Raw genomic sequence first — 26,174 nt, forward strand, 5'->3', positions numbered from 1 at the left:
CTCTTCTAAGGTCTGCCACTTCTAGATCACGGCTCTTGTCACAAAACAATGATATGGAACTTGACACAAGTAAAGAAAACAAAGGAAAACAGGCCACCAAATAACTACCATATAACCAGCTAAAATAGAATAATTACAAAGTGAACAGGGACACAGAAGAGGAAGAATATAAACAGTTTCCTGATTAGTGCCACAGTGTGGCATGGCTAGAGCACTAAGAAACAACTAAAGCTAACAAACCGGTTTGGCACAGAACCAAGAGGGAGGGTTGTTCTTTCTCAGTTAACCTTTATATTGGTGGTGCACCTAAGAGATAGCATCGCATCAGCAATAGCTCATAATAAAAAAAAAATCATGGAATGAAATTGATGTATGCTCAGGATCAGAAGAACCAACAATATTTGGCCATTAGCAGTTTAGTCACATGTACACAAAGATTATATCACATACAAACACTTAGTCTAAGTCATATATCACCAAGCTAACAGAAAAAGAATAGCAATTCCAAACATTTTGCAAAAAATAAAACTTTGCAAAAAATTAAATTAGTAAAAAAAAGAACCATGCAATTTTACATGTTTGGTGCTTGTTTTCAAGCTGCTACCAAATTTAGAAAATCACTTCCCTTTATAACAAAGGGCTTTCAGAATCTAAATATCAAATGAAATTCTAGCATTTAGAGTTTATTAGACACATGCAATCACATTCAATGAAATTATGAGTGAGCTACAAAATGGAAAATTAAGAACTCACCATGATAAAACCTCAAATACATCTCAGAATAAATTCAACCTTTTTAGTTTAACATCTATATCTTTATCAACTTTTTAATGCAGAAGGACCCATTAAACACTTAGGTAATAAAATTCAGTGTTCTATGCTAAACGAAGAGAATTTTATAGTCCACATCATGATTTATAGTTACATTATCACATTTCTTCCACAATGCTTACATTACTTCACATTATAATAATTATTAAGCTATTGATATGAAGCAGAACACTTCCTCAAATTAAGGTACCTTTCGCTGTAAGTAGCAAAGACTGCCTTCCTGCAGTAAGTAAAGAAGTGACTCTTCAAATACTGGGTGGAATTTCTTTATCCAACATATTACCAATGCGCTGGCAGATTTACAACAGATGATCAGGAGCCACATGCTTATTGGACAAGACCAGTTCCTCGTAGCTCCTGTTATGCTCATTGCCCTCCCAGTCCAACCTGTTCGGCAACAACTGGTACTGCTCCAGCTCCTGCACCAGCACCTGGGCCCTTCTCCAACACAGACCCGGTGAGAGGTACTGGGCGATGAGGAAGTACAGCTCCAACTCCATGAGAGGCACCGGGCCTCAGGTGGACAAGGCCTCCTCCTTGGCCGGGCGCTGGGCGGGAGGCGGGAGCGAGCGTGCTAGCCAAGCATGTGGGCCGCGCTGAGGCTTGACGAGGCCGGCGTCCCTTTTCCTGAGGCACGTGCGCCGCCGCCGCCATCATGCCGTGCGCGCCGCCCTAATGCTTTTTTTTTCACATTAGAATCAACTGGGAAGCTTTTATTTTTCTCCCAGATTTATTGAGATATACTTAATAGATATAAAATGTAAAATTCTATAATTTTTTAAAAAAATCAGTATTTTCTTAAAATTTCAATGTTATGTCCCTGAAACAAGAACGATCTCAGTCATCTTTGACTATGCTTTCTCCTCAGCCCCTCTATCTAAGTAGTTTCTGCTCATTCTTATCTCCACTATCACGATCATATGACCTCTAATGTTTTTAAATCATCATTGTCCTCATCTACTATTTCATTATCAGTAGTACAGCTTCTATATGAAAGGTAGGACAAGTGCTTGATTCTTTCTCATTAGTTATCATCTTCATTGCCTTTCAGCTGATTTATTCTGGCAGAATTCTGACTTCTACCATTCTTTTGCCCTTCCAATTTATATGACATGTAGCTATCAGATTACTCTTTTCGATGCACAGGTCTGACCAATTGCTATTACCCAATTATGTTCAAAGCAGTCAAGACATTCCTTATAACCAAATGTGACTCTACCTTTCATCTGTATTTCCAAAGTACTTTTAAATTACACTTCTAAAGACAATTTAAATTTTTTGCTGCGATATTTTTTGATATAGATTAGGCTATATATGATTAGTGGACCATATTTTAGAATTAAAGCCAAAATTCTAGTGGCCACAGACTACAAAACCAGTTAAATACCGCTTCTTATGGAAGTCTTAACAAGGTTTATTTCTTTCTGGGCTTACAATGGTAATCATTTATGCTTGGTGAGAATGCAATTTGTTAATGAATGGACTTGAGCATTTTAACAGCCTAGATAATCAATTTTTATTCAGATGGTGTTACTTTCCTAGAGTTATTTGCAACACAAACAACAAAACATGTCATAATAAATAAACCAGTACATCATTAATTTTTTGGTGGAAAAATCTGTTTGGCTCAGGTTTTTTTCTTACGACAGTAATGCTTGCTATAAAAGTCTAATAATATAGAAATGTGGAAAGTCAATTGTGAAAGTCTCCCTTCACGAATCTCACAGTCGACCATTAATAATTAGATTTGTATCCTTTAACATTTTTTTCTATGTACATACAGGCATTTGAAATAAAGGAGCCCTTTATGTTATTTCTGTTACAGAACCAGGAAGATCCGGATAAAGACACTGTCTGCACTCTACTCAGATGCCCTTTGAGTCTATGCGCTGTTTCTGGGCTCATCCTCCAGCCTCAACGTGTTTGCTGTAAGTCTGTCTGTCCTTGGGCTCCTGGAGGAGTTTTGCAGTGCACAGGGGATGGAAGTACTTGGGAATTGATGTCCCACTAGATCAGTCTGTAGTCAATGACTGGTGCATGAAGAATTCACCTCCAGAGCTCTTCTGGGATTTGGCTGAGGCTGGGACTTTGTCTCAAATTGCACCCTTGTTTGATTTCCTCTTCCCTGTCCTATTGGCCCTCCTCTCTACAAGTTTCTTTGCAGCACTTTCTTCCTATCACCTGCATATAAATCCTTGTCTCAGGGTCTGCTGGTGGGAAACTCAGCACAGGGAAAGTACACAAAGAACTGAACAAAACTGACATACTTAAGGGAGAATCTGTGACTCTGTTTCAATTTGTCTTCAACTAAATGACCTCAGGCCTTAGATAGGGCCATTGAAATTTCCCTATTAGAAATGCGGTTACACATTTAAGACCCTTAAAATTATAAAAAGAGATTTTAAGTAGTGATAATTAAGACTCAACACCAAACATAGTGTATAGTTTTATAACTGTTCTGTTATCTGACTTTTACTAAAGAAACAAATAAAACCACTTCTCATTATCAAGGTCCTCCAACTACTTGCAATGCAGCGGGAGGCAACTTTATAACACAAAGCAGTAGAAAAAAATTATTAAAAAGTGATAGTGTATAATTAGATTCACATGACTTATGTTGTAGACATTTAGAAAAGTGGATAAGAATTCTGTTCTGAAGTTACCAGGAAATGCTTCACTGCAAAGTTGAAATTGAAATTGAGTCCAGAAAGCTGTAGCACCTAGATAATGGAAAGTCAAACATTCTGAATACTTGGTGTGCTTTGGGGAAAGAAGGTGGCATTAGGGGGAATTCTTTGACTAAAGCAAAAGGTATGGGTCCAGGAATTATGTTCTAATGGGGTTCTATCCGGTTGGATAGGCAAGGTAGGGTCAGATAATGAATGGACCATCTCAAATGCTGGGCTAAGTAATTTGGGCTTGATTAGAAAGGCTGCAGTGAAAAAGCATACATTTTTAAGCAAATGGTGTGTTACTGGAGGTTCTGTAAAGACTTACTTAGCTTTAGTGTCAGAGAATTAACTGTGACAGACAGAGGCTGAAAATGTGTTGGAAACTGCAAGTCTGTACAAGAATAAAACTCTAGATTTGAGGGAATGGCAATGTAGAAATGAACACTAGCGATCATAACAAGAAAAGATGGTACTGATTATTAGGGGAGGAATAGAGAAAAGACTCAAAAATAGGTCTAAGGTTTAAGCTTGAGTGACTTGGAAAATGTAATGGAAAACAATGAAGCTGAACTTAAAGCAAGAAAAGTTTATTCAGGTGGGAATGTGCCTCAGTTTGATTTTTGGACACTTAGAATTAAAGCAGGGTGTTCTGATGGAAATGTCCTGGAAATATGGAACAAGGCTGACTGAAAAATTAGTGTTGGAGATACAAAGTTTGGATTGGTAGACATGAGAACTTAAGCAATGGAAATAGATGCATTCTTAAGAATGGAAATATAATATAGAGAGAAAATAACTGAAAATGGGAAATTAAGACCACTAGAGTTATGTTTAAAGATTTCATTACATCTGAATGGAAATTGGAGGATATATGCTAGTTTACCCAAAAGACAGCCTGTTTTGTTAATTTAACACTATACCAAGCTAGGAAAGATAACCTCTTTCTCCATGGATCCTCCATTGAACTTTGGCTCTTTAGAATTCCCTCATTCCTTCTTTGGGAAAGTGGAATGGGAAAGTCAAGGGTGCGAGGGGAGAATAGGTGACATCTCCTGGATTTTCTCCTCCTATTCCACCCCATCCCCCCACTCTATTTTCTACATACTTAGATTTGGGGTAAATTCTCATTGTATTTCTATGTCAAGACCTGAATCCCTCTGGATGGGGGTAGTATATTATGTCAGTGGACAGTTAAACTCATCATCTTTTTTATTTCTTTTTGTTTTTTTTTAATCTGATGACTGAAGACAGCATCTCTCTTTCTGTTTCAAAAGACCTAGTAAAGAGTAATGAGAAAAATTTGAGAGGGCCCAGGGGATGCATATCTATAGATATTTCACACCACACTCAGGCAGCTTATTGTCTTTAGTTCCAGTAAAAATAGACCATTGGGAACAAATTCAAAATCTGTGGAATCTGGTGTTAATGTGAAGTGACTCTTGCTCTTGCAAAGAAATATGCTTTAGAACTCTTCTCTAGAACTCAGATGTTTTATGAATGGTGATGAGGATAATGAAGCTAATAATTATAAATAATAATCCTATGTGTTAGAAATTGTCTCCTTGATGATACAATTGTTCCTCTACTCTTCTCACATTTTAATTAGAACATGCCGCTGCTTTAAATTGGGAAGAGGCAGTAGTCTGATAAGACAACACATATTAGCACTGTCCCCACTTCATACCCTCTTGGTTACAGCCACCATGCCACTGGCCTTCTTCAGTTTCAAACTAGATTAATTTTCAAGAGGAAGATTTCCTAGGTAGCTCTTGGATCCAGAAATAAACTGGCAACTGGTAAAATTCTTGTTGTAACTTCCACTGCAATTTCAGCATAACTCTGTAGCAAAGGTTGTGTCACTTGAGAGAATACAGTGACCCACAGGGAAATTTCAAAAATTTAGACCACTCTGATAGAACAAAGCCTTTTCAACCCTGCAATCAATGGCCGTTTAAAAAAAACAAGTACACAATTTAGATTGTCACTCAAGGACTAAAATACTAAGGAGATGATTTTAGATCTGTAATGTCTTCCTATAAGTTATATAATAATAACTTAAAAAGAGTAAGCAGGGTGTACTTTTTTATTTCTCTTGGGGAAGAACATAGTGAATCAATAATTACAGTTATTGGTAAAGTATAGAAAAAGTTTAGCATATAGAGTAACATTTACATTTGTCTCTTTCATTCAAATATCCTCTATTGACAAAGACATTTTTGGTTGTGAAGGGGAAGGGAGAGTTTGGGGGAAACAGAAAGAGCTTGAGATTACTGTGAGTTCTGAACTCAAATTCCCACTTTGCCACTTTCTGGCTTTGTGGCCTTGAATAAAATATTTACTCAGATTTTTCTTCCTTTTATTTCTTGGTCTGTAAAATGAGGACCAATAATGATTGCTTAACAAGGTTTATGCAGATTAACTAAATGTACTTGGCACATAATAGATGCCTAGTAAAAAGAGAATATCCCTTTACTTGCAGTTGTGAAAGTTCGTATGACATAATTGTATGACTTCTTCTTTTAATAATTCCCCATTTCAAAATCTCAGCTAGTGAAAACATCCAAGGATAAAAGAGCTAAGGAATCAACATTTGTTTATTTTATAGCTGTAATATCACACAACAAATATGCAGTGATTTTTGGTGCGTGATCTTCAAAAAAAATGAAAAAGTGTGAACTAGCAAAAAGTCTCACTATATCTGCTACTTAGTTTTTAAGCTGGGTTTTGAGTTATCTAAGCTACTATAGAAAATGTTCTGAAATTGAGGATTTTTGTAAGAGCCACACAAACTCCTTTTGTAGTTTAAGTGGGTCCTCCCAGTTTTCATTGTAAGATTGAAACTCAGGTGCTGAGGCTGCCTGGTACTTTACCTAAACCTAACCTATATTATTATTGTTCTGTTGGGAGAGTGGTTTAGAAATATAAAATATAGTAGAAAAAGCATTGGTTTCTAGACAAGGCATCCAAATGCATTTCTTGCTTTGTTACTAACTAAATTATGTAATTGATCTTTACTTCTTTGGGCCTAAATTCCTTGTTGGTTCTATATCAGCAGTTCTCAGATGCTGGTCTCAGGACTTGGACTTCATTAGAATTACCAGGGATATATCTTTAAAATCACATTTCCGAACCTACCTTCCACCTTCTGAATCGCTAGGAATGGGGTCAGGAATCTAGGGTTAACAAGCTCTGTAGGTGCTTCTGAGTAGTAACTGGGTTTAGAAACCAGTGAAGTCTTTCCAAATCTTCCTTGCCTGCAGATTTGAAGTCTCTTTCAGATTTTTTACTTTCAACTAGGCTTTTAAGTACTATGGAGGTGGTTGCTCTCCCAGCCTTCAAGTGACAATCTGGGCTATAGGAGAAGCTTAATAAAAAAACAATTTTGTGAATCAAGTAATTTGATTTCCTTGTTGGCATTGAATTCTCTCCTTGGGTAGCCTCCAACTTTCTCAGATATCAATTCTTTCTCAGTTCTTAAGAGAAACAAATTAGCTTTAAAGAATTGTTGCTTAAAGTTTTCCCAAATACATAAGTATTAAAAGTGTATGGCAGTATTCATAACCGATTGTATTACTCCTAATGATATCGTGCCTTGACTTGATTTAGCCCCTGTTCCGATCACATATACCTGTTAAAAATTGCTTTTCAATTGCCTTTGGTTGGAAATGATGTGTTTAATTGATTTTGGGAACTGATTCTATCCTATTAATCTTTGACATGCTATGGTATTAAGTTTTTTAAGCTCTCAAAAGGATAGCTTAAAAAATAAGCTCTTATTGTAGAATATTTAGGGAGCATAAAAAATTATAAGGAGAAGGCTGGGGCGGTGGCTCAGGCCTGTAATCCCAGCACTTTGGGAGGCTGAGGTGGGTGGATCACGAGGTCAGGAGGTCAAGACCAGCCTGGCCAACATGGTGAAACCCCATCTCTACTAAAAACTACAAAAATTAGCTGGGCACAGTGGCAGGTGCCTGTAATCCCAGCTACTCGGTAGGCTGAGGCAGGAGAATTGCTTGAACCCAGGTGGCAAGGTTGCAGTGAGCCGAGATCACGCCACTGCACTCCAGCCTGGGTGACAGAGTGAGACTCCGTTTCAAAAAAAAAGAAAAAAAAATTACAAGGAGAAAAATGGAAATTACCCATAATCTCATTACTCAGAAACAACATTCAATATTTCAGCACATTTTTTCTAGTTATACAAGCATACAAAAAATAAATATTTGGGATATTTTCCAAATATGTAATTTTAATTATTCTTTTTCCACTTAACATTTTATATTGAACATTTTCGTATGTTATTTTTCTTAAAAACAAACAGTTTTAATGGTTATATACTATTTCTATAATATGAATAGACCATAATTCATGCAATCACCTTCTCATTTTTATATGTAGATGGTTTTTAACTTACTGCTCTTATAATAATGCTATAATGAACATTTCCAGAAATGATTCTTATCTGCATTTCTTACTATTACCTTGGCATTTTCTCCTAAACAAGAATTACTGAAACAATCTGAATTTTTAAAGGTTCTTAATATGTATTATAAACTACTTTTCAGAAAATTAAAAAAAATCAATAACAGGACTGAATGAGTCCATTTTTCTTAATACTATTTTTAATAGTTATTGTCATTGAAAACAATCTTTGCTAATTGAAATTCTTGGTGTTCATAACTTGCTTTTCATTAAACATTAGTGAAGTTGAAGAGTTTCCTTACTTGAGTCAATTATATGTCTTATACTGTAAATTGTCTTATAGTCTTTTTCCATCTTTTCCTATTAGATGGTTAAAGCTTTTATGTGTTAATTATATATATATATAAAATTTTTTTTTCAGAGTCTCACTCTGTTGCCCAGGCTGGAGTGCAGTGGTCTGATCTTGGCTCACTGCAACCTCCGCCTCCAGGGTTCAAGTGATTCTCCTGCCTCAGCCTCCTGAGTAGTTGGGATTACAGGTGCCTGCCACCATGCCTGGCTAATTTTTGTATTTTAAGTAGAGACAGGGTTTCACCATGTTGGCCAGGCTGGTCTCGAACTCCTGACCTCAGGTGATCCACCCACCTCAACCTCCCAAAGTGCTGGGATTACAGGCGTGAGCCACCATGCCTGGTCTGTATCGTCCTTTAATGTGATATGGTTGGCAAATATTTTCTAGTTGGCTAGTAGATTTTTAATTTATTTGTGATGATGACAATATTTAATGGTATTAGGAATATTATGTTATTATACTATAGTCCACTATACATAAAGACTTATCTATGGTAAAAAGAGGTGGAAAATCCAGATAGTACAGATCTTTAGTACATTTTAAATTTGTTTACGTGATTCACATGGCTTGACTTTTGACAAACATATGCCTCCTAGAGCTAAAAGAGTCCTCATAGATTGTTTCACTTCCTCTTTCCTGGTAAGCAGGTCACCATGAAGTAAGAGCATGTCTTATCTTTGCATGTCAAGCATTATTTTGTGTTTCACTTTTATAGGAGAAGAAAAAGAGACATTATGTCATTCTTCTGATTGTGAATTTAATTAAAATCCTGATTCCTGGATGGTATCGTGGGCCTATTGAATGAGAATCTCTGGAGCTAGAACTGGAAATCTGCATTTTAACAAATAAGTCTGGTGATTTTTAGCATTCTAACATTGGAGAACTACTGGTGCTGGAGAGTTCAGATGACCAATGGTGAATTTTATCTCACATTACTAGCTTCTTCAGTTTTCTTCCCCTCAGTGCTCAGGTACTCAATTTGCATAATATTAGATTGTACTCTTTATATATTGGTTCAGAAAGGTTTTTAAGTGTGTGCTGTGAATCTGAAGCTAGATGGAAACTCACTCAAAGCAGGAATTGTAATACCCGGTTTTTGTTTTTTTAATCTCCTTAGACAACTTTGCATAGTGCAACAAAGTTATTGACTCATAGAGATTCAAAGTACCAAAGAAAATGAGATACTTAATATTTTAAAAATATAAGCCTATTTTCTGTATGAGAAAATGGAGGTAGAGTTTTAAAGTCTTTCAAAGTTTGTCAGGTTTCATGGTTTTTGATTTATTATTTTTTGAGGTTTTGGATGATGAACCTTGACTGATACTACTCCAGTGATATTTTTAAAAGTATTTTTATAAGATGTTTTAGAGGTGTCTCTTTTGTAGGAAAGAGACATGAGATAGTAAATTAGAATTTTTATTTAATTTAATCCAAGAATTTGAGACAGTACCTCTTCACAGAGAATCAAAAAATAGCTTGATTTAATCTGCAGTGTACCTATCTCTGTGCTTAAAACTGTGGATCTATTTCAATGGAATGGAACACGATCCTTATCCTTGAAGAACTTAACTGTATTTTACTTGCACTTAATTTTTGGCATTGTTTTACATGTTACTTCATATAATTTTACACTCTATAATTATATTTCTGGAACATTTGCATTGCTCTCATCTGCTTTAATAATGCTATTGCTGATTTATATTCATATATAATATCATGTTCTTTTCAAAGCCTATTTATGTATATGGTTCTAGGAGAGCCTCAAGAACTTAGTATAATATTAATAGAATTTTTTGAGTGTTTGATTCATGTGTGACTCTGAGCTTCACATGAATCCCATCACCGAATTATCACAACAATTCTATAAAGTAGGCTGTGTTATTATCATCTCCTATTTACCAGGTGTGAAAACAGAGCTGAACAAAGTTATTTTAAGAGCTGCAGTCTGACTCAAGAGCATACAGTTTACCTTAAGATCCCCTAGTCTAAACCATTAAACACACTGCCTCCTCAGCAGCATAGGTAGTTGCAAAAACAATTGGACAGATAGTCAAATTCTTGTCTACTTATATTGCTCAGATAGAAGGGGGCATATTTGCTGAACTTGCTCTGCAGTACTCAGTAGAATATTTTCTGTAGGTTAATATAATCCTTGGATGATAGTCAAAAGGTGATCAGAACCCCCACCCCTGCCCTTGATCTCTCCGAAGCCAGGCAATATATTTTTATTCAGTTACTTCTTTTAACCTGAAGTCACCAAATAGCATACTACTAAATGTATAAAGCAAAAACTATAAAGCAAAAAAAGAGAGATTCCAATATACATATTCAAAATCAGATCACATAGAGAACACAAAAGTAATGACACAGAAGAAATAAATGTTATAATCAATAACATTGACTACTAGCCAAATACAGAATTTTTCATCCTTCAAATAGATAATATTATTTTTTAAATATCTCTGGAATATTCACAAAAATTGATCATGTTCATAGCCAAACAAAAACAAACACAGAAAAACTTAAAACCAAAAGTGGAGATTTTACAATCCATGTTCTCAAATAGCTATGTAACTCAAAACTTATGAAACATAGTAAAAGTTCGGAAACATTGTACTTAGATGCAATTTATAGCTTTAAGTGGCACCATTATTAAGAGATGGCTAAAAATAGGGTTTTTTTGTACTCATCCTAAGAAATTTAAGGACCCATGAAGCCGGGCTTGGTGGCTCACGCCTGTTATCTCAGCACTCTGGAAGGCCTAGGCTGGTGGATCACCTGAAGTCAGGAGTTCGAGACCAGCCTGTCCAACATGGTGAAGCCCCGTCTCTACCAAAAAAATACAAAAATTAGCCAGGCATGGTGGCACACGCCTGTAATCCCAGCTACTTTGGAGGCTGAGACAGGAGAATCACTTGAACCTGGGAGGCAGAGCTTGCAGTGAACCAAGATTGTGCCACTGTACTCCAGCTTGGGCGACAGGCGACAGAGTGAGACTCTGTCTCACAAAAAAAAAAAAAAAAAAAGAAAGAAATGTAAGGACCCATAATATAAATCAGAATGTATTAATAAAGATAAAATCAAAAACTTATGAACAAGAAAATAAATGGAAAATCTAGAAAGACTAAATAAACCTGGAACTTGGTTATTTGATAAGGCTATATAAAATAGATAAATCTCTCATAAGCCTGGTTAAAGGAAAAACAAAAAAGATGCAAAATAAATAATAAAATATTAGAAAAAAGAGAAAAATGACAGTAACATGTGGAAGACAGTAAAAGACATGAGAAAATCTTCATGAAACTCGATTGTAACACGATTGATAACTTAGAGAAAATGAATATTATACTAAATGTAATTCACTAAAATTGATCTAAAAGAACAACTTTCGTATGCTAAATGCTATATAAAATACTGAAAAATGAATAAAAATAAACCATTAAAGAAATTAATAGGACCCGATGTCTTTGTGGCTGAGTTTGATCAAATCCTTAGAGATCATGTAAGCTAAATATTTAAACCTCATAAAAAGCCAGCATAATCTTAATGCTTAGTAAGGGTAGTGCAGATAAAACACTACAGTCCAACTTCCTGTGAACATAGTGGCAAAAATTCAAATTCAAATATAAAGAAATGGAACTCAGCATTGTATCAAAAAAATGGAAACTATAATACACTATCACTAAGTAGGATTAATTCCAGGAATGCAAGAATGGTAGAAAATCAAGAAAATTATTAGCATGATTTTATATGTTGCAAGAGAAAAATCATGTTTTATCAATAAAGACAAGATTCTTAGAAGGAATTTGTTAAAAATTTTCAGGCATTCCTAATAAAAACTATGTAAAATAGGAAAAAGGAAAAAATGCCTTATCTATGATTAAAACCTACCAAAAACCAACAGCAAACAATTAAAATTGTTTGTGCTAACTATTCACTAATATAAAAAGAAGAAAGCAATATTTACCTTCAATAAGAAAGTAAAATAATTGGTATAAATTTGGAAAAGAGATAAAATGACATCGTATTGCAGATAATATACTTCTGTACTTAGAAAACCTAAAAAAAATTCCACTATTATGAATTAGAAGAAGAAAATTTGGTAAGTTGACTGGGTATATAATATTTCAAAGAACCTAAGATATTATATATTTTAAGATATCTGTTACTTTATGAACCACCAAGAAGGAAAAAACAGTGTCAGAATTAAGAGGTCATTATTATAGAATATGTCCCATTTTCAAAGATGTTAAAAATGTGTGTTTCAGAATTGATGATATAAGATAGATATTTAAAAAGCAATAGTTTTGTGTGTGTCTGTTGGGGGGGTGGCAATAACCACTTACTTGCTAAAAAAAAAGCTATTTAATAGTTAGGATTAAATTCATCAAGAAATATATAGGACCTACATGAAAAAAACTCATACATTTTCATGTAAATATATAGAACTCCCTAACCAAATAGATCAAGATGCCATATTTTAGATGAGAACAGTTAAAATTGTAAAAACATCCACGCTCTCAAAATTAATATACAAATTCAACACAATGCTGGAGTGTACTTAGGGGGAAAATTTGACAAGATTATTTAAAAAATCATATTGAAGAATAAATATTCAGTATTACCAATAAAATTTAAAAAGCAAGAATAGTGAGGAGAGATTAAGCATAATAGACAATAAACCATTCTGTAAAATTACCATAAACCAAATGGGGAGGCAATTGGCATGGAAATTGACAAACTGATTAGGAGCAGAAAAAAAGACATCGTATTTTAAAATTCAATGGGAAAAGATTGTTTGTTCATATATGGTGCTGGTAAAAACTGGCTTTCTACCTGAAAAAAATAAAATAAAATTAGGCCCTTACCTTTGGCCTTGTCAATTCTGGATAGATTAAATCACTACTTATAAAAAATAGAATAAGAAAATTCAGGGGGCTATATGTAAAAATCAACAGTTGAGAAAACATTTGCAACACAAATGACAAAGTGCTATTACCTATAATATACAATGAGAGCTTGCAAATTGATAACAATAAGACAAGCATACTACAGAAAAAGGAATGAAAAATTTGAATAGTTAATTCATAGGGAAGTAAGCCCAGATGAACAATAAACAAGTAAAAAGCTGTTCAAATTTTTTACTAGTTAGGAAAATACAGATGAAAGGGAAAATGAAATCATTCTTTTTACACATCAGTTTGAAAAATTTTAAAGGAAGATTTATACCAACTATAGGTGGATATTTGTGAAAGAGAATATTCACATGCATGGTTCGAAGAATGTACTTTTTGAAAAACAACCTGGCGATTTATTTTTTTAAAAATATACACATCATTTGACTCAGCAGTTCTATTCCTATGATTCTGGACTATAGAAATAAAAGTGCAAATAATATAAAGGATGTTTATTTCATCTCTGTTTCTAGCAGCACAACACTGAAAAGGTGAATAACCATTAATAGAAGAATGGGTGAATAAACTGTGCTATATTTGTAACATAGAGCATTATAAGTCTACTAAAAAGAATAAGTTAGACCTGTATCATCTAAGTTGAATGGATATTCTGTATTGTTAAGTGAAAAAAAGCAAGATGTAATTCTTGCATATAATGTCATTTTGGTAAAACAAATAATGACAATGATCCCTTTACCCCTGCATGTGTCTATGAGTATGGAAAAATGTGAAACTATACGTTTAACATTTGTTATCTAGATGAGAGGTGAAAAGGGGCAGAAGGAAAAGACAGGGAGAAGAAAGAAAAAAAAACAATATATAAAGAGTCATCTTTGAGCAAGAACATGAGAAAAAAAGAAAAACAACAATAGCAAAGAAACAAAAACTTCTAAGAGTTTGGAATTAAATTCCCTGATTGGAGAAGATACCATTATAGGGTTGGAATAGACCTAGAGTCACACACACACAAGAGAATTTAGGAAACTACCAGAACTTCCATTTAGCTATGTTACTTAAGAGTTAAATCTAATTTCCATAGCAGAAATTGGGACTAATTTTAGAACCCACACTGTAATCTTTACTTTCAATTTTATGTATTTGGGTAATGTTTTGGAGGTCTCAAATAATATTAAAAAGTAATAATTTTTTAATTTACCTGTAAATCCAAAGTCTGTATTTGTCTGGTAAGATTAAATAAATGATAAGAAGAACATTTTTCTCTCACCATTTTAATATTTACATCATGGTGTATCATATTTATTTTGTAAATTCCTGGCGTTCTTCAGAAATGAGAATGAATATAATTTGCTACTGTTTTTCACCATGTGCCTTACACATAGTAGGAATTAAATAAATAATCTGTTGAACAGGATTGAATTCCACTTTTTTTTTCAAGAGTGCTTTCCAGCTGAGATAAATCACCAAAGGCTGACCAACAAGAATTCCTAATACTAGAGGACCTAACATTCCTTCTGAGGCAGGAGATAGACTTTTATTTCAGCGCCAAAAGGATCTACAAAACGCAGCCCATCGAGTCATAATGAATAACAATTTCACCTTCACTCAAGTGTGTGCTTGAACAGTAACAGGTGATTAAACCTATCACAGTATTACCTTGCAGACTGGAGGCACTCACCACATTCTCGTGGTTTCTAAGGCAACTGATTAAGGATTCTAAGAACTGAGGCCCCATTTAGGCTGATGCCCTTGGAAAGGTAGAATTTCTTTTCCAGTAGGCTGTACTGGAAGACAAGGCTTATTTGTTTTAATGTTTTCCATTTCTCTGAATTTCACAACACAAGGTGCTCAGATACCTTTTGGTAGAGCCTACTGGAAAATGTTACCAGTATAAAAATAAAGAGCTCGGTTTTGCCAATCCAAAAAACACTTGGTGTGATTACTGGTAAATAGGAGGCAACTCAATGAGGACTCTGTTTTCCTTTTAGCCTCACTTTTTATTTACTTCTTTGCAACACAAACTGTAAACGGTAACATTGATGATGTTCGGCCAACACCTCAGTGAAGGACTCTCTTTAATAAAACCTGTGGTGTTGGATGGGTCCAATACAGACAGGCTTTTCATGCAGTTCTGCTGTTCAGGCTTGACACCCACCGTGATGAACTGCCGTTGAGATAAATTCAGTGATTCTCTGGAATAAGCTCTTTAGGGTTACAAAATGGCCTCCAGAGAGAGTCAGGGCTTGCTTCCAATGGGAAGTTAAGTGGATTTTTTTTTTTCTTTTAAGCAGCTAGTCTGATCTCCAACCAGCAGGTTGTTCACATACTTCTATAGTACTCCCAGCCTTGGCTGCAGCCTTGCTTTCTCTTTATGGACTCATTACCCAAATCTCTGAAATGAAGTGATTTTTTTTCATTAACTCACTGAGGCATAACACGAGCATTTCACTACCACATAAAATTTACTACCTTTGTTCTTTTCTCTGGCAGAAGGAATATTAAATCTTAGCTATCAGCTATGAAACACAATGCCTGCTGTTTTTTCATGCAAGAAAAATGTTGATCAGATTCCCACACATTTTTGGGGCAATGATGGTTGTTATTATGACTCTCAAGGTCCTGAGATAACTTGAAAGTGGCAATACATTCACACATCTTATGCAATGACTTTATCATGCAAGGCTCACACTAGAATGTAAACTCTGAAGTTTTACCTGTTTAACTCACTAATACATTCTTGTGTCTTCTACAATACTTAGGAAGTATATAGAAGGTAGGGCCCTGATAACTGTTTATTGAATGAACGAATGAATGAATGAATGGTCCTGTTCTGGGACATGGTGAGGTTAGCATGGCATGCCAACTGGGAGTGATGAGGACTTGGAACTATGCCACCTACCAAAGCAGAAATTTTAGGACAAGGCCTGGCTTCAATGCTCTGGGGAAATGTCCATTTCAACAGGGAGAACACATGATTTAGTTGTATAGATGGATACAAAAAGTGATAGTAATGACAATAAGTTGCTATATACTTTTTGCACAGTAGGATTAATCTGCACAAAATCTTACAAACTAGATGGCAGTGTCTCCATTTTACAATGTGACAAATGAGTCCCTGGAGGTTTAATTAGTTTCCTAATATCACATAAGTAGTAAAATGGTAGAGTTGAGATGAAAAATACTGGCTGCTTTTAAAGTTCATGCTCTTTTCATAAATGTGTGTGGATAATAGGCATTGGATGTGGGCACATAATAGGAGGAGGCAGGGGAGCCCAGTGACCAGTTATCCTCAGAGTATGTAAGTCAGAGGCCAGGGAGTTCAGGAATCTAGGTAGGCCCATAATCTAATCCTTCAAGACGTGGGGAATCTTTTGAGCAGGTAGCAGGGACCCAGTTACTGGGCTGGAAATTTTGGTGAAGAGGCAGGAGGATCTGGTAAGAGGAAGGAAGGACCCTCATCTTAGAAGAATTGGGAAACTGGACAGGCCACAAGGATAGTGTCTCTGGTGCAGGGATATATGTTTTCTACTATTGAGTAACAAATTACTACAAATTTAGCAGCTTGAAAAACACCCACAGTTCTGGAGGTCAGAAGTCCATGCAGGGTCTGCTGAGTCCTCTACCTAGGATCTCACAAAGCCTAAAAGTATTGATTAAGGCTCTTAGTGGGAGCTCTGGGGAAGAGTGTACTTCCAGGCTTATTCAGCTTGTTGGTGGCATCCAGGTCTTGTGCTTGTATGACTGCAGTTCCTATTTTCTTGCTGGTTGTTATCTGGGGACCACCCTCAGCTCCTTGAGTCTGTGTTCAGGTCCTGCCCTGTGGTTCCCTCTACTCAGCAATGGGAAAATGCAAACCTCCTTTGCATCAAATTCTTCTCACACTTTGAATCTGTCTGGATTCCTCTTCTACTACTGGTTGGATTAAAAGGGCTCATGTGATTAGAATAGTTTCACTTGAAGAATCTCCCTATTTCAAAGTAACTGATTAGTACCCATTAATTGTATTTCGAAATCACTTTTTTTTTTTTCGTGTTAAGTAACACAATCAGAAGCATGATACATCATCATCTTCACAGTCCTGGGGAGTAGGGACTGTGGCCTCTGGGGTGGGGACATATTAAAATTCAGCCTAGCAGGCAAGGCAACCATCAGGATTTGAGAAAAGGCAAAAATGGGGATTCTGAGTTCCAGTGTGTTGAACTGTTTAAACTTCTTTTGCTTTAGGTCAATTAGATCAAACTGTGGATATAGGATGCCTGCAGCCAAACCACCAATCTTGACCCATCGTGAGTCTCGGCTCACTGGCAGGGTGACTTAGGAGAGTGAGAAGAAAGCTGCCCAAGCTTTTACGCATGTGGAACACATTCACTTCTGACATCCTTTACGAATGGTATGAGAGATGTTTGACTACTTCCTGACATTGAGAATTTTGTGACTGGAAGGGAGGTGTATGATAATGATGAGGAAGTCTAGTCATTTCTGGCCTTCTCTAAAACCTGTACTTGTTCATGGAAGAAAAAAATATGTGTTTTTGCCCAAAGGTCTATTCGCCTGTTCCCAGTTGTCATTTTAGTGTTAGGGAGTAGGCAGGGGACTCTTGCCTGCAGAGTGACTTTACAACAGCCCTCACCTAACCAATCAGCTCCGCAACTAGACATCCTGACACTGTGGAATGGTAATTTATGAGGCCTTTGCTATTTTTATTTCTTTATGTGGCAGGGAAGAAAACTCCATTTTTTTTCAGAATAAATTCCCTCCCTTTAGGCAGAGAACTTTTGCCAAAAGCAACAACTAAAAATAAAATCTTCCTTTCATGTCTATATTTCTGGGCTTCCTCACTTAATCAGAAGATTCTACAGGGACAGGGAAGTAAATGATAATCCTAGAATATTTTAGAATCATTGAGTTCCCCAGCTGGTTCAGAAACTGCATCAAATTAAGGGCCTAGCTTACCTATTTGTAATATAAGGCTTAAAAAGCAGTCTGAATGAGACAATTTAGTATTCTTGACAATATTAAATGTCAGCATCAACTGTTGGGAAAAATTCAGATTTCTTTCCTCCCATCTTCAAAACATGCTTTTTTTCTTTTTTTTTTTTTTTGGTTTCTCTTGAGAAGACTTAAGCTCTGCATTTTTACTCATAATCAAATAGGATAGATTTGGCTAGCCGGTTCCTCAGAATAACTGCTAGACTCTTCAAACAAGCAGCTGTCCCCAATTAACCTGTAAGGCATGTCAGATGCAAGGCCTGGTTCTACAGGCAGACAGGCAGCTAATGGGGCAGTTCTTCACACACTCCATTTGCATTTCTGGCAGTCAAAATATATGTTGCTTTTCTCTTGGCTCTGTTATTTAATTTCCACCGGTGAACTAATGAGGATTAAAAAAAAAAACTTTCCTTATTTTTATTTTTCAAAACCGTGTTGATAAGAAACAAGCAACAATGCCCACATTGAGAGTAATGCTTTTTGCTATTTTAATATTTTATCTTTAGAGGAACACTGCAAGGCAGTATCTTAGAAAGGCATTCCTGGCACAATTTCTTCTATGAGGCCTTGGTCGTCCCAAACAAATGGCACCAAATTGTCCCATAAGGTATGTGAAGCTTATAGCTTTCTAAATACAAAGCTAACAGATGAGATGAGTATAATTCAGCACTTTAATGTGTAGATACCAGTGGTACAATTATCGTATTTGAAATAGGTGCGTGTTACAGCTTTTAATTCTGTGTTTAGTTTTATTTTGCTTTTAATAGAGAGTTACTTTGTCCCTGACAGCCCACCTTTGGAATGCTTGGCCACCTTCGTTGTGGTCAGTGAATGAGGTGCCTGCCAACTGGCCCCTCCAGGTGTCAGGACTGTACTCTGGGAAGGCTCGATGTGTCTTTCTCTGGGCATCAGAAGAATGTGCCCCCAAGCTGCACCACTGCGGTTGGAAGTGGACAAGAGGGACTTGGTTTTGTTGAGGATCTGGAAGACATCACTGACTTAGTTTCCTGGGGCTGCCCTAACAAAGTGCAACGAGCTGGGTGACTTGAAACAACAGAATCTCACTGTCTCACAGTTCTGGAGGCTAGAAATCTGAAATCAGGATGTCAGCAGGGCCACGCTCCCTCTGAGAGCCTGGTTAGCACCCATCCCTGGCTCTCCTAGCTTCTGGTGGTGATTGCCAATCCTCAGTGTCCCTTGGTTTGCAGCTGCTGCATTCTTGTCCCTCTGTGGATGTCTTCACCTGCCTTCCTCCTCTCTCTCTGTGTGTCCAAATTTCCCTCTTCTTTCAAGGACACAGTCATATTGGGCTATGACCCACCCTAAAGACCTCATCTTAATTTGATTAAAGCTGTGAAGAGCCTATTTCCGATAAAGGTCACATTCACAGATTCTAGGAGTTAGGACTTCAACATATCTTTTGTGGTAGGACAGAAACCAACCTAAAACACACCTGTCTCCCACTTTGCTGTACAATGAACTGAGCCTGGAATGGGAAGAAAATGTAACACAAACTCTCTTTGAATAGGGATCACTTTCTCCCCCACAGGGTCTCTGTAGGACAGCAGGCCAAAATTTACATGTTTTACTTAATTTTTTTTTTTTTAAATGAACCAGTGTCTCTATCGTAAAGGCTCACTCCCTAAGAGGAAAAAGAACTTCCTTCAATTCCAGTTCCAGAAAGGGAAAAACAGTCTTTAGGGGATTAATGTGAGTGTCTCTATTTTATAGGTGAGAAAACTGAGGCATGGGCAGCTTTAAACACATTGAACACACCTATGTTTCAGACATGGTAGGTGTTTCTATTTATGTATTTAAGGAGTTAGGTAGTAGTCATATGACTTTCCCTTGCTTGTGTATCTAGAAGAGAGAAGGCAGCAGGTCTTCAAATGTCTCATCTGGAAGTTTGGGCATATGCATTGTTATTTCTGAGCATGTGATAAGGAATATATTTTCGAGGATGTAATCTCTGTTATACCCTTCTGAGTTTACCTCTCCAACCTGTACTAAAGTTTTTTCTTTCTAAAAAGCTCTACTGCCTGGGCACAGTGGCTCACACTTGTAATCCCAGCACTTTGGGAGGCCGAGGTGGGTGGATCACCTGAGGTCAGGAGTTCGAGACCAGCCTGGCCAACATGGCAAAACCCTATCTCTACTGAAAAAAAAAAAAAATAGCTGGGCAACCCTGGGTGACAGAGTGAGACTCCATCTCAAAAAAAAGGCTCTATTTTACAGTAAAATAAATATTCCCTATTTATGAAGACTATGTACATGTTATTCTCAACTGAGCCACTTAGTAGACTGTGATTTTATTTTCTTTTTTGAACAACTTTAGTTTTGTTGGACTTAATTTGCTAAAGTTTTCATTTGCTCAGTTTTTCTGTGTACCTATCACATAGTGACCTTCCAACTCTGGTTACCTCTTTTCAGTATCTTCTAACACACTAGTAAGCTTATGTCTTATTATTATTATTATTTTGTAATAGAAGCATTCCCCCCTGGAGCCCTCCTTTCTCTTGTTTAAAATGTAAACTCATTGTTCTCCAGACCTGCTCTGCAGCTAGCATCCTGAGACAACTCCTCATCGTCACCCTGGGTGTTCCTTTATTTTCTTTCCTGCGCTGGATTCTCTGCTTTCCATGTTTTGCTCCCTCATTTTGGTCAAGAACATTCTCCAGGCCCTTTTTCAGGCATATTGGAGGTAAAAAGATGATGGTTTACATATCTGATAGTTTAGAAAATTTTTGTTTGGGCTTTTTAGGCAAACAAAATAAAAGCCATTTTAAGGCATATTTATACCAGTTGGCTATATCTGGAGGTTTGGATATCTCCATGCATAGTGTCTACCCATTACCTGGCTACAGAGTTCTTAGTAAATATTTGTCAATATGAGAACCAATGTCTAAACAGTTCATTGATGGAAATCCAACTTGTTCCTCATCAACTCAATTCCTTGAAAGTCAAACTCCGGACTTTGGCTCATTGGCAACTAGTACTTTTTCAAAATTATCTGAGGTCAGAGGGTTTAATGAGGAAGTCTTTATAGGTATTGCAATTCCTTCTCCTGATAAGCCTCACTACACCTGCCACACCTTGCTCTGATCTCATCTACATTCTATCTTAAGGGTGGGGAGAAGTAGGCACTGATTAATATTGGCAATACTTAGTCAACATGTTATTAATAAGTAGTTAGTTCCTAAGTGTTCATTAAGTACCCACTCTGTTTCCAGCCTTATCCCAGGCAGTATAATAGATAAAGAAGCAAGTAAAAGAATTTGGACCCTTCCTTGATAGAATTTACAATCTAGCCAGATATATTAATAATTAAGGAGTTTATAAGTTGTATGCATTTTCCTCCTCCCTCCTCCTTTCCAGTTAACTCTGACTCTCCCATTGGCCTCCCTGACTGCTTTCCCTTCCCTGTCACCCATGATTCATCATCTCTTCAGGATTGCTTAGCAGTATGGCCCATTCTCAGTGTGGAGGGTAGAAAAGGATTTGCAGATGAAGAGTATTTTTGTCACTTGTTAAAATTGTGACCTTGGGGAAAATCATTCAAATTCTAAGAGACTCAGTTTCTTTATCCTTAAAACTGAGATAATTATGCCCACCTTATATGTTTATTACAAAGATTAGTAATAATTTATACAAGGTATATCAAATGTTGTGTGCATGGTGGATGTTTAATAATTTAAACTAGAGATACAACTGCTGCCAATGTTAAATGTCAGCTAAAGAAGCACTTAGCAGAAAATGGCTCAAATTCCAGGAAATACTTTTGAAATGTTATTAGGGCAACAGGACATTTGTGTCTGGTCATAACATTTAAGTTGCTTGTGTCCATACCAATATTTTTATTTAATTTAAATAATTAATTTATTTAGAGTCAGGATCTCACTCTGTTGTCCAGGCTGGAGTGCGGTGGCACAACCATTGCTTCCTGCAGCCTCAATCTCCCCAGGCTTAGTTGATCCTTTCACCTCAGCCTCCCAAATAGCTGAGACTACAGGTGTGCACCACCACACCCAGCTAATTTTTAATTTTTAATTTTTATTTTGGGAGAATGGAGTTTCGCTATGTTTCCCAGGCTGATCTCGAACTTCTAGGCTCAAGTGATTCTCCCATCTCCACCTCCCAAAGTGATGGGCTTACAGGTGTGAACCACCATGCCCTGCAGCCCTTTACCATTATATTTATTAACTAATACTATTACTTGTAGCCATTGCTGCCTCCACCTCCCATTTCTCACACCAAAAGGAGAAGAATTAAAAAATAGCAGGTCTCTGCTCAGAAAAAATACCTATCAGTTTTCTCTTAGTAGCCCTGAAAGTAAGAATTTATTCATTGATTCAACAAATACTTAGAAGTCCAGTCCTCGAGGCTGAACATGAAAGAGAGCAGGACATGGAGGCACTTAAAGGTGCTTGGTATGGCAGAATTGGGAATAGGAAGTGATGAGCAATAAGGTTGAAGAGTTAGGCAGGGCCCTGGTCATCTGGGGCTTTCTAGGTCATGTTCTGCCTTTGGACTGTATGATAGGAGCAAAATGGGAGAGAAGATTGACCTTTTTTGATTATTCTGACTGCAAGTGGAAAAAGGATTTGAGGAGGCAAGATTTTGGACAATGGAAGCAGTTGGGGTGCTTTTGCTGCAATCCAGGCAAGAGATACTAGTTGCCTTCTCTAAGGAGTTGGATAAAATTGGAAGACCTTGAGAGCTAGTTAGGATATAGGAGGTACAAATCCACAATCTCCAGGACTTGCTGAGATGGAATGCTTTGGGGTTTAGAAATCTTTTTGATATTCCTAGAAAGGCAGTATGATGTATATAAAGTATGTTATATCACACCCTTAGGGAGGGCTGGGCAATAATCAAGACATCAATATTTGCACAGTAAAAGTCACATATTCACAGTAAATTAGATGTATCAAGACTGTTAGTAATTCTCAATCACTTCAGAGAGGTTTTGCTGCCAAGCGAGCAGTTTGTTTTGGAATTGTGGGTAACTGTTGATAATTGTATGAGGCAAATGGAATAAACAAAACAGTGACTTCAGGCTGATACTTGGGTATTTTTTGGGGGAAGCTAGCTGAATGATGGCACCATTCCAAGAGAGGGGTACAAAGCAGAAAATGCAGGTTTGAAGCTATAAAGATGTGTTCAGTTTGGAGTCTGCACTAGCAGTATTTATGGGACATTTACGTAGATATCAAGTAGCAGCATTTCAACAGCAAGGGAATGGTCATCAGTTGTCAAAAGCTGGAGACAGAACAAAAAAGATGAGTGCTTATGCGTTTCTTTGATTTAGCAACCAAAGAACTATTGGTGACCTTGGAAAGAATGGCAGTGGTGTGGCAGAAAAAAGAAACCCAAATGTAGTAGATTAGGGAGTACACAAAAGGTAAGAAAATAGAGTTAGTAAATGCAGATATATCTTTTAAGTTTACCACATATTTATTTGTTTTGCTGGCCAAAATAAAATCCATCTTGCATGTCAATGAGCATAGAGCTGCTAAATAGTTATAAAAAGTGTAAAAAGGTAAATAAGCCATATTCCTTGCTTTTAAGAATCTGGTACAGAAGATAAACCAAGGAAAAAGGTATCATATGATTAAGTCTCTCAAAAGAATTGTTTACAATTTTTTTTTTTTTTTTTTTTTACAAACAAGGAGTACACATCTAAATTCCTATGGAATTTTTTGAAATACACCCAGGTTCTATATCCTTGAATATTTTGATTAATTAGGTCTCAGATGGAGCCAGCCAGGGTTTTGCATATTAAGTAAATTCCAAGGTGATTATGATGAGATGAATTAGGACTAGGAATGTACATTTAGGAAATAGCCTTAAAGAGGTGAGAATTTAAGTTGTAAGAGAGAGGTAGAACTTGGAGATGAGACTGAGGAAAACTGAGAGCAGAACCGATATTTGTCCTATTTTACTTAGAAGGGGAGCTGGGAGGGGGAGATGAAATAAATACAATAAATAAATAAATAAATAAATAAATAAATAAATAAATAAGGCTGTGGGAACTTCCCAGTGCCATGCAAATATAAAGGGGTGTTATGGAGAAAGGCTTTAAAAAATGCTGAACTATAGGAAGACTATTTAAAAAAATAACTTCCGATGCATGACAAGAAAGCCCCAAAATTGGGGTTTAGCACAGGAGGGTTCTTGACTCCACCCAGGAAAGAATTCAAGGGTGAGCTGGTGGCCTAAAACAACAACTTTTATTGAAACGTCAGTGCACAGCAGCAGCAGAGGTACTGCTCATTGTGGAGCAGGGCTACTCCATAGGCAGTGTGCCCAGAGCACAGGTCAGAGGCAATTCTACAGTCACATTTACACCACTTTTAATTCTATGCAAATTAAGGGATGGTTTATGCAGAAATTTCTAGGAAAGAGGTGGTAACTTTCAGGTTGTCAGGTCATTGCCATGGAAAGGGACAGTAATTTCTGGGTGTTGCCATGGCAACTGCCATGGCACACTGGTGGGCCTGTGTTATTGAGAGGTGCTTCTGCTGGGTATACTATTTTAGCTAGTCCTCAATTTGGTCTCGTGTCTGAGCCCTGTCTCTGGAGTGGAGTCCCACCTCCTACCTCACTTCCACTGTTTTAGTTTCTAATTACAAAAATGTTACAGAAAAGTACAATGAAGAAAAAAAAAATCCTTTGTGGTCTCACATCCAATAATATCCACTGTTTATTTTTTAGTGGGTATCCTTCCTGTCTTTTGGCAAACACTTTCAAGAACTTTGATGGAAAGAGTAGCCATTTATGGGAGTTGACATTAGTTTCAGACCAAAAAGATACTTTGCAAAAAAAACTTTAGGTTGAATTGATTGTTTTTGAATCTTAACATGTAGAAAGATGACTTTGTAACATTTTTGGTATAGCTATAGCTGCTTTGAAAAGGTTTAGTGGAAAGCATAGACCAAGGGTTAGCATACTAGAGCCCTTGGGCTAAATCCAGCCCACTGCTTGTGTTCTAAGTAAAGTTGTACTGGAATACACAGCTACACCCATTTGTTTATGTAATGTCTATGGCTGTTTTCCTGCCACAGCTTCAGATTTGAGTAATTGTGACAGAGACTATCTGGCTCATAAAGCCTAAAATATTTATGATATGCCTCTTTACATAAAAAGTTTGCTTATGCCTTGTATAGACTAATGTTTTCCAAATTATGTCCCATGACACATTGGTTTCCTGTGAAATGTTAATAAACTTTCTTGAACAAGAGCCTTGTATTCAAACAAGTTTGGAAAATGCTGAATTAAAGTTAACCAGGGTTTCTTTCCAGTAGGACATCTGATAACATTTACTATGTTAATTGATAACCTACAAGAGCAGGGTTTATTATATATAGCATGCTCCCAAATTATCTGGTCATAGATTTTTTTTTTTCTCAGCAACATCTATTAACGTCATATAGTTTGGAAAATCTTAAATTAGTCTGTTTGGAAGGCTTTGCCAGGGTCATAAAATGGTATAAACTTGAAGCCATGGAGTTTTAATTCTAGGAGGTCTGTGTAGAAAGCCTGCTTGGTTCCAGAGATCAGAAAACCATTAACTGCTGGTGAATCACCTGAGCTGTCTTTGTCCCCTGACCTCTGTGAAGGAAATTTTAGTGTGAAGTAAAATTCCCAAGAGTTCTATTCAGAAATAGAGATCGGTGGTAGATTTATAAGGCCTCTAAGATGGTAACTGGAGTAAATGATACATTCAGCTTTCTGAGACTGTTTCTGAAAATTCAGCTTTCTCAATGTTTTAGGGTAAAATTTTGGGGGTAGATATTTGGAGTATTGTTTTCAGAGCTACAATATGACTTTCATGGGCACCAGGCACTTTTTCCTCTGTGGGACCCTTTTTCCATAAAAAAATTATTGACAGTTATATTTTATGACTGTATTTGTATAAAGACAAATATAATCTAGGCTGAATATATTCATTTTTTCTTCTGATTTGAAGAGATATTAATATTAAAACCTTTCATAGCC

At 36.6% G+C, this 26,174-nt stretch overlaps 1 long non-coding RNA gene and 1 pseudogene across 1 annotated transcript in view, besides 1 other annotated feature; one reads left to right on the forward strand and one right to left on the reverse strand.

The window, feature by feature from the left end:
• Positions 1–810: 810 nt before the first annotated feature.
• On the reverse strand, positions 811–1,503 carry BRWD1P2 (bromodomain and WD repeat domain containing 1 pseudogene 2; annotated as a pseudogene).
• Positions 1,336–1,835: an enhancer, noted in NCBI's record as "H3K4me1 hESC enhancer chr12:90313523-90314022 (GRCh37/hg19 assembly coordinates)". NCBI's record gives its function as "activates a minimal SCP1, AML or CMV promoter by ChIP-STARR-seq in primed H9 embryonic stem cells {active_cell/tissue: H9 hESC(primed)}" and the evidence as "EXISTENCE:reporter gene assay evidence [ECO:0000049][PMID:30033119]".
• Positions 1,732–26,174, forward strand: part of LOC105369890 (uncharacterized) — a 192,148-nt gene continuing 167,705 nt past the window's right edge. Inside the window, exons 1-6 of the long non-coding RNA XR_001749246.2 lie at positions 1,732–1,828; positions 2,657–2,759; positions 8,990–9,244; positions 14,626–14,818; positions 17,412–17,577; positions 18,683–18,783. This is a non-coding gene — a long non-coding RNA (uncharacterized LOC105369890). The remainder of the gene's footprint in view (positions 1,829–2,656; positions 2,760–8,989; positions 9,245–14,625; positions 14,819–17,411; positions 17,578–18,682; positions 18,784–26,174) is intronic.

The sequence above is a fragment of the Homo sapiens genome, chromosome 12, assembly GCF_000001405.40.
Source record: "Homo sapiens chromosome 12, GRCh38.p14 Primary Assembly".
NCBI classification, from domain to species: Eukaryota; Metazoa; Chordata; class Mammalia; order Primates; family Hominidae; genus Homo; species Homo sapiens.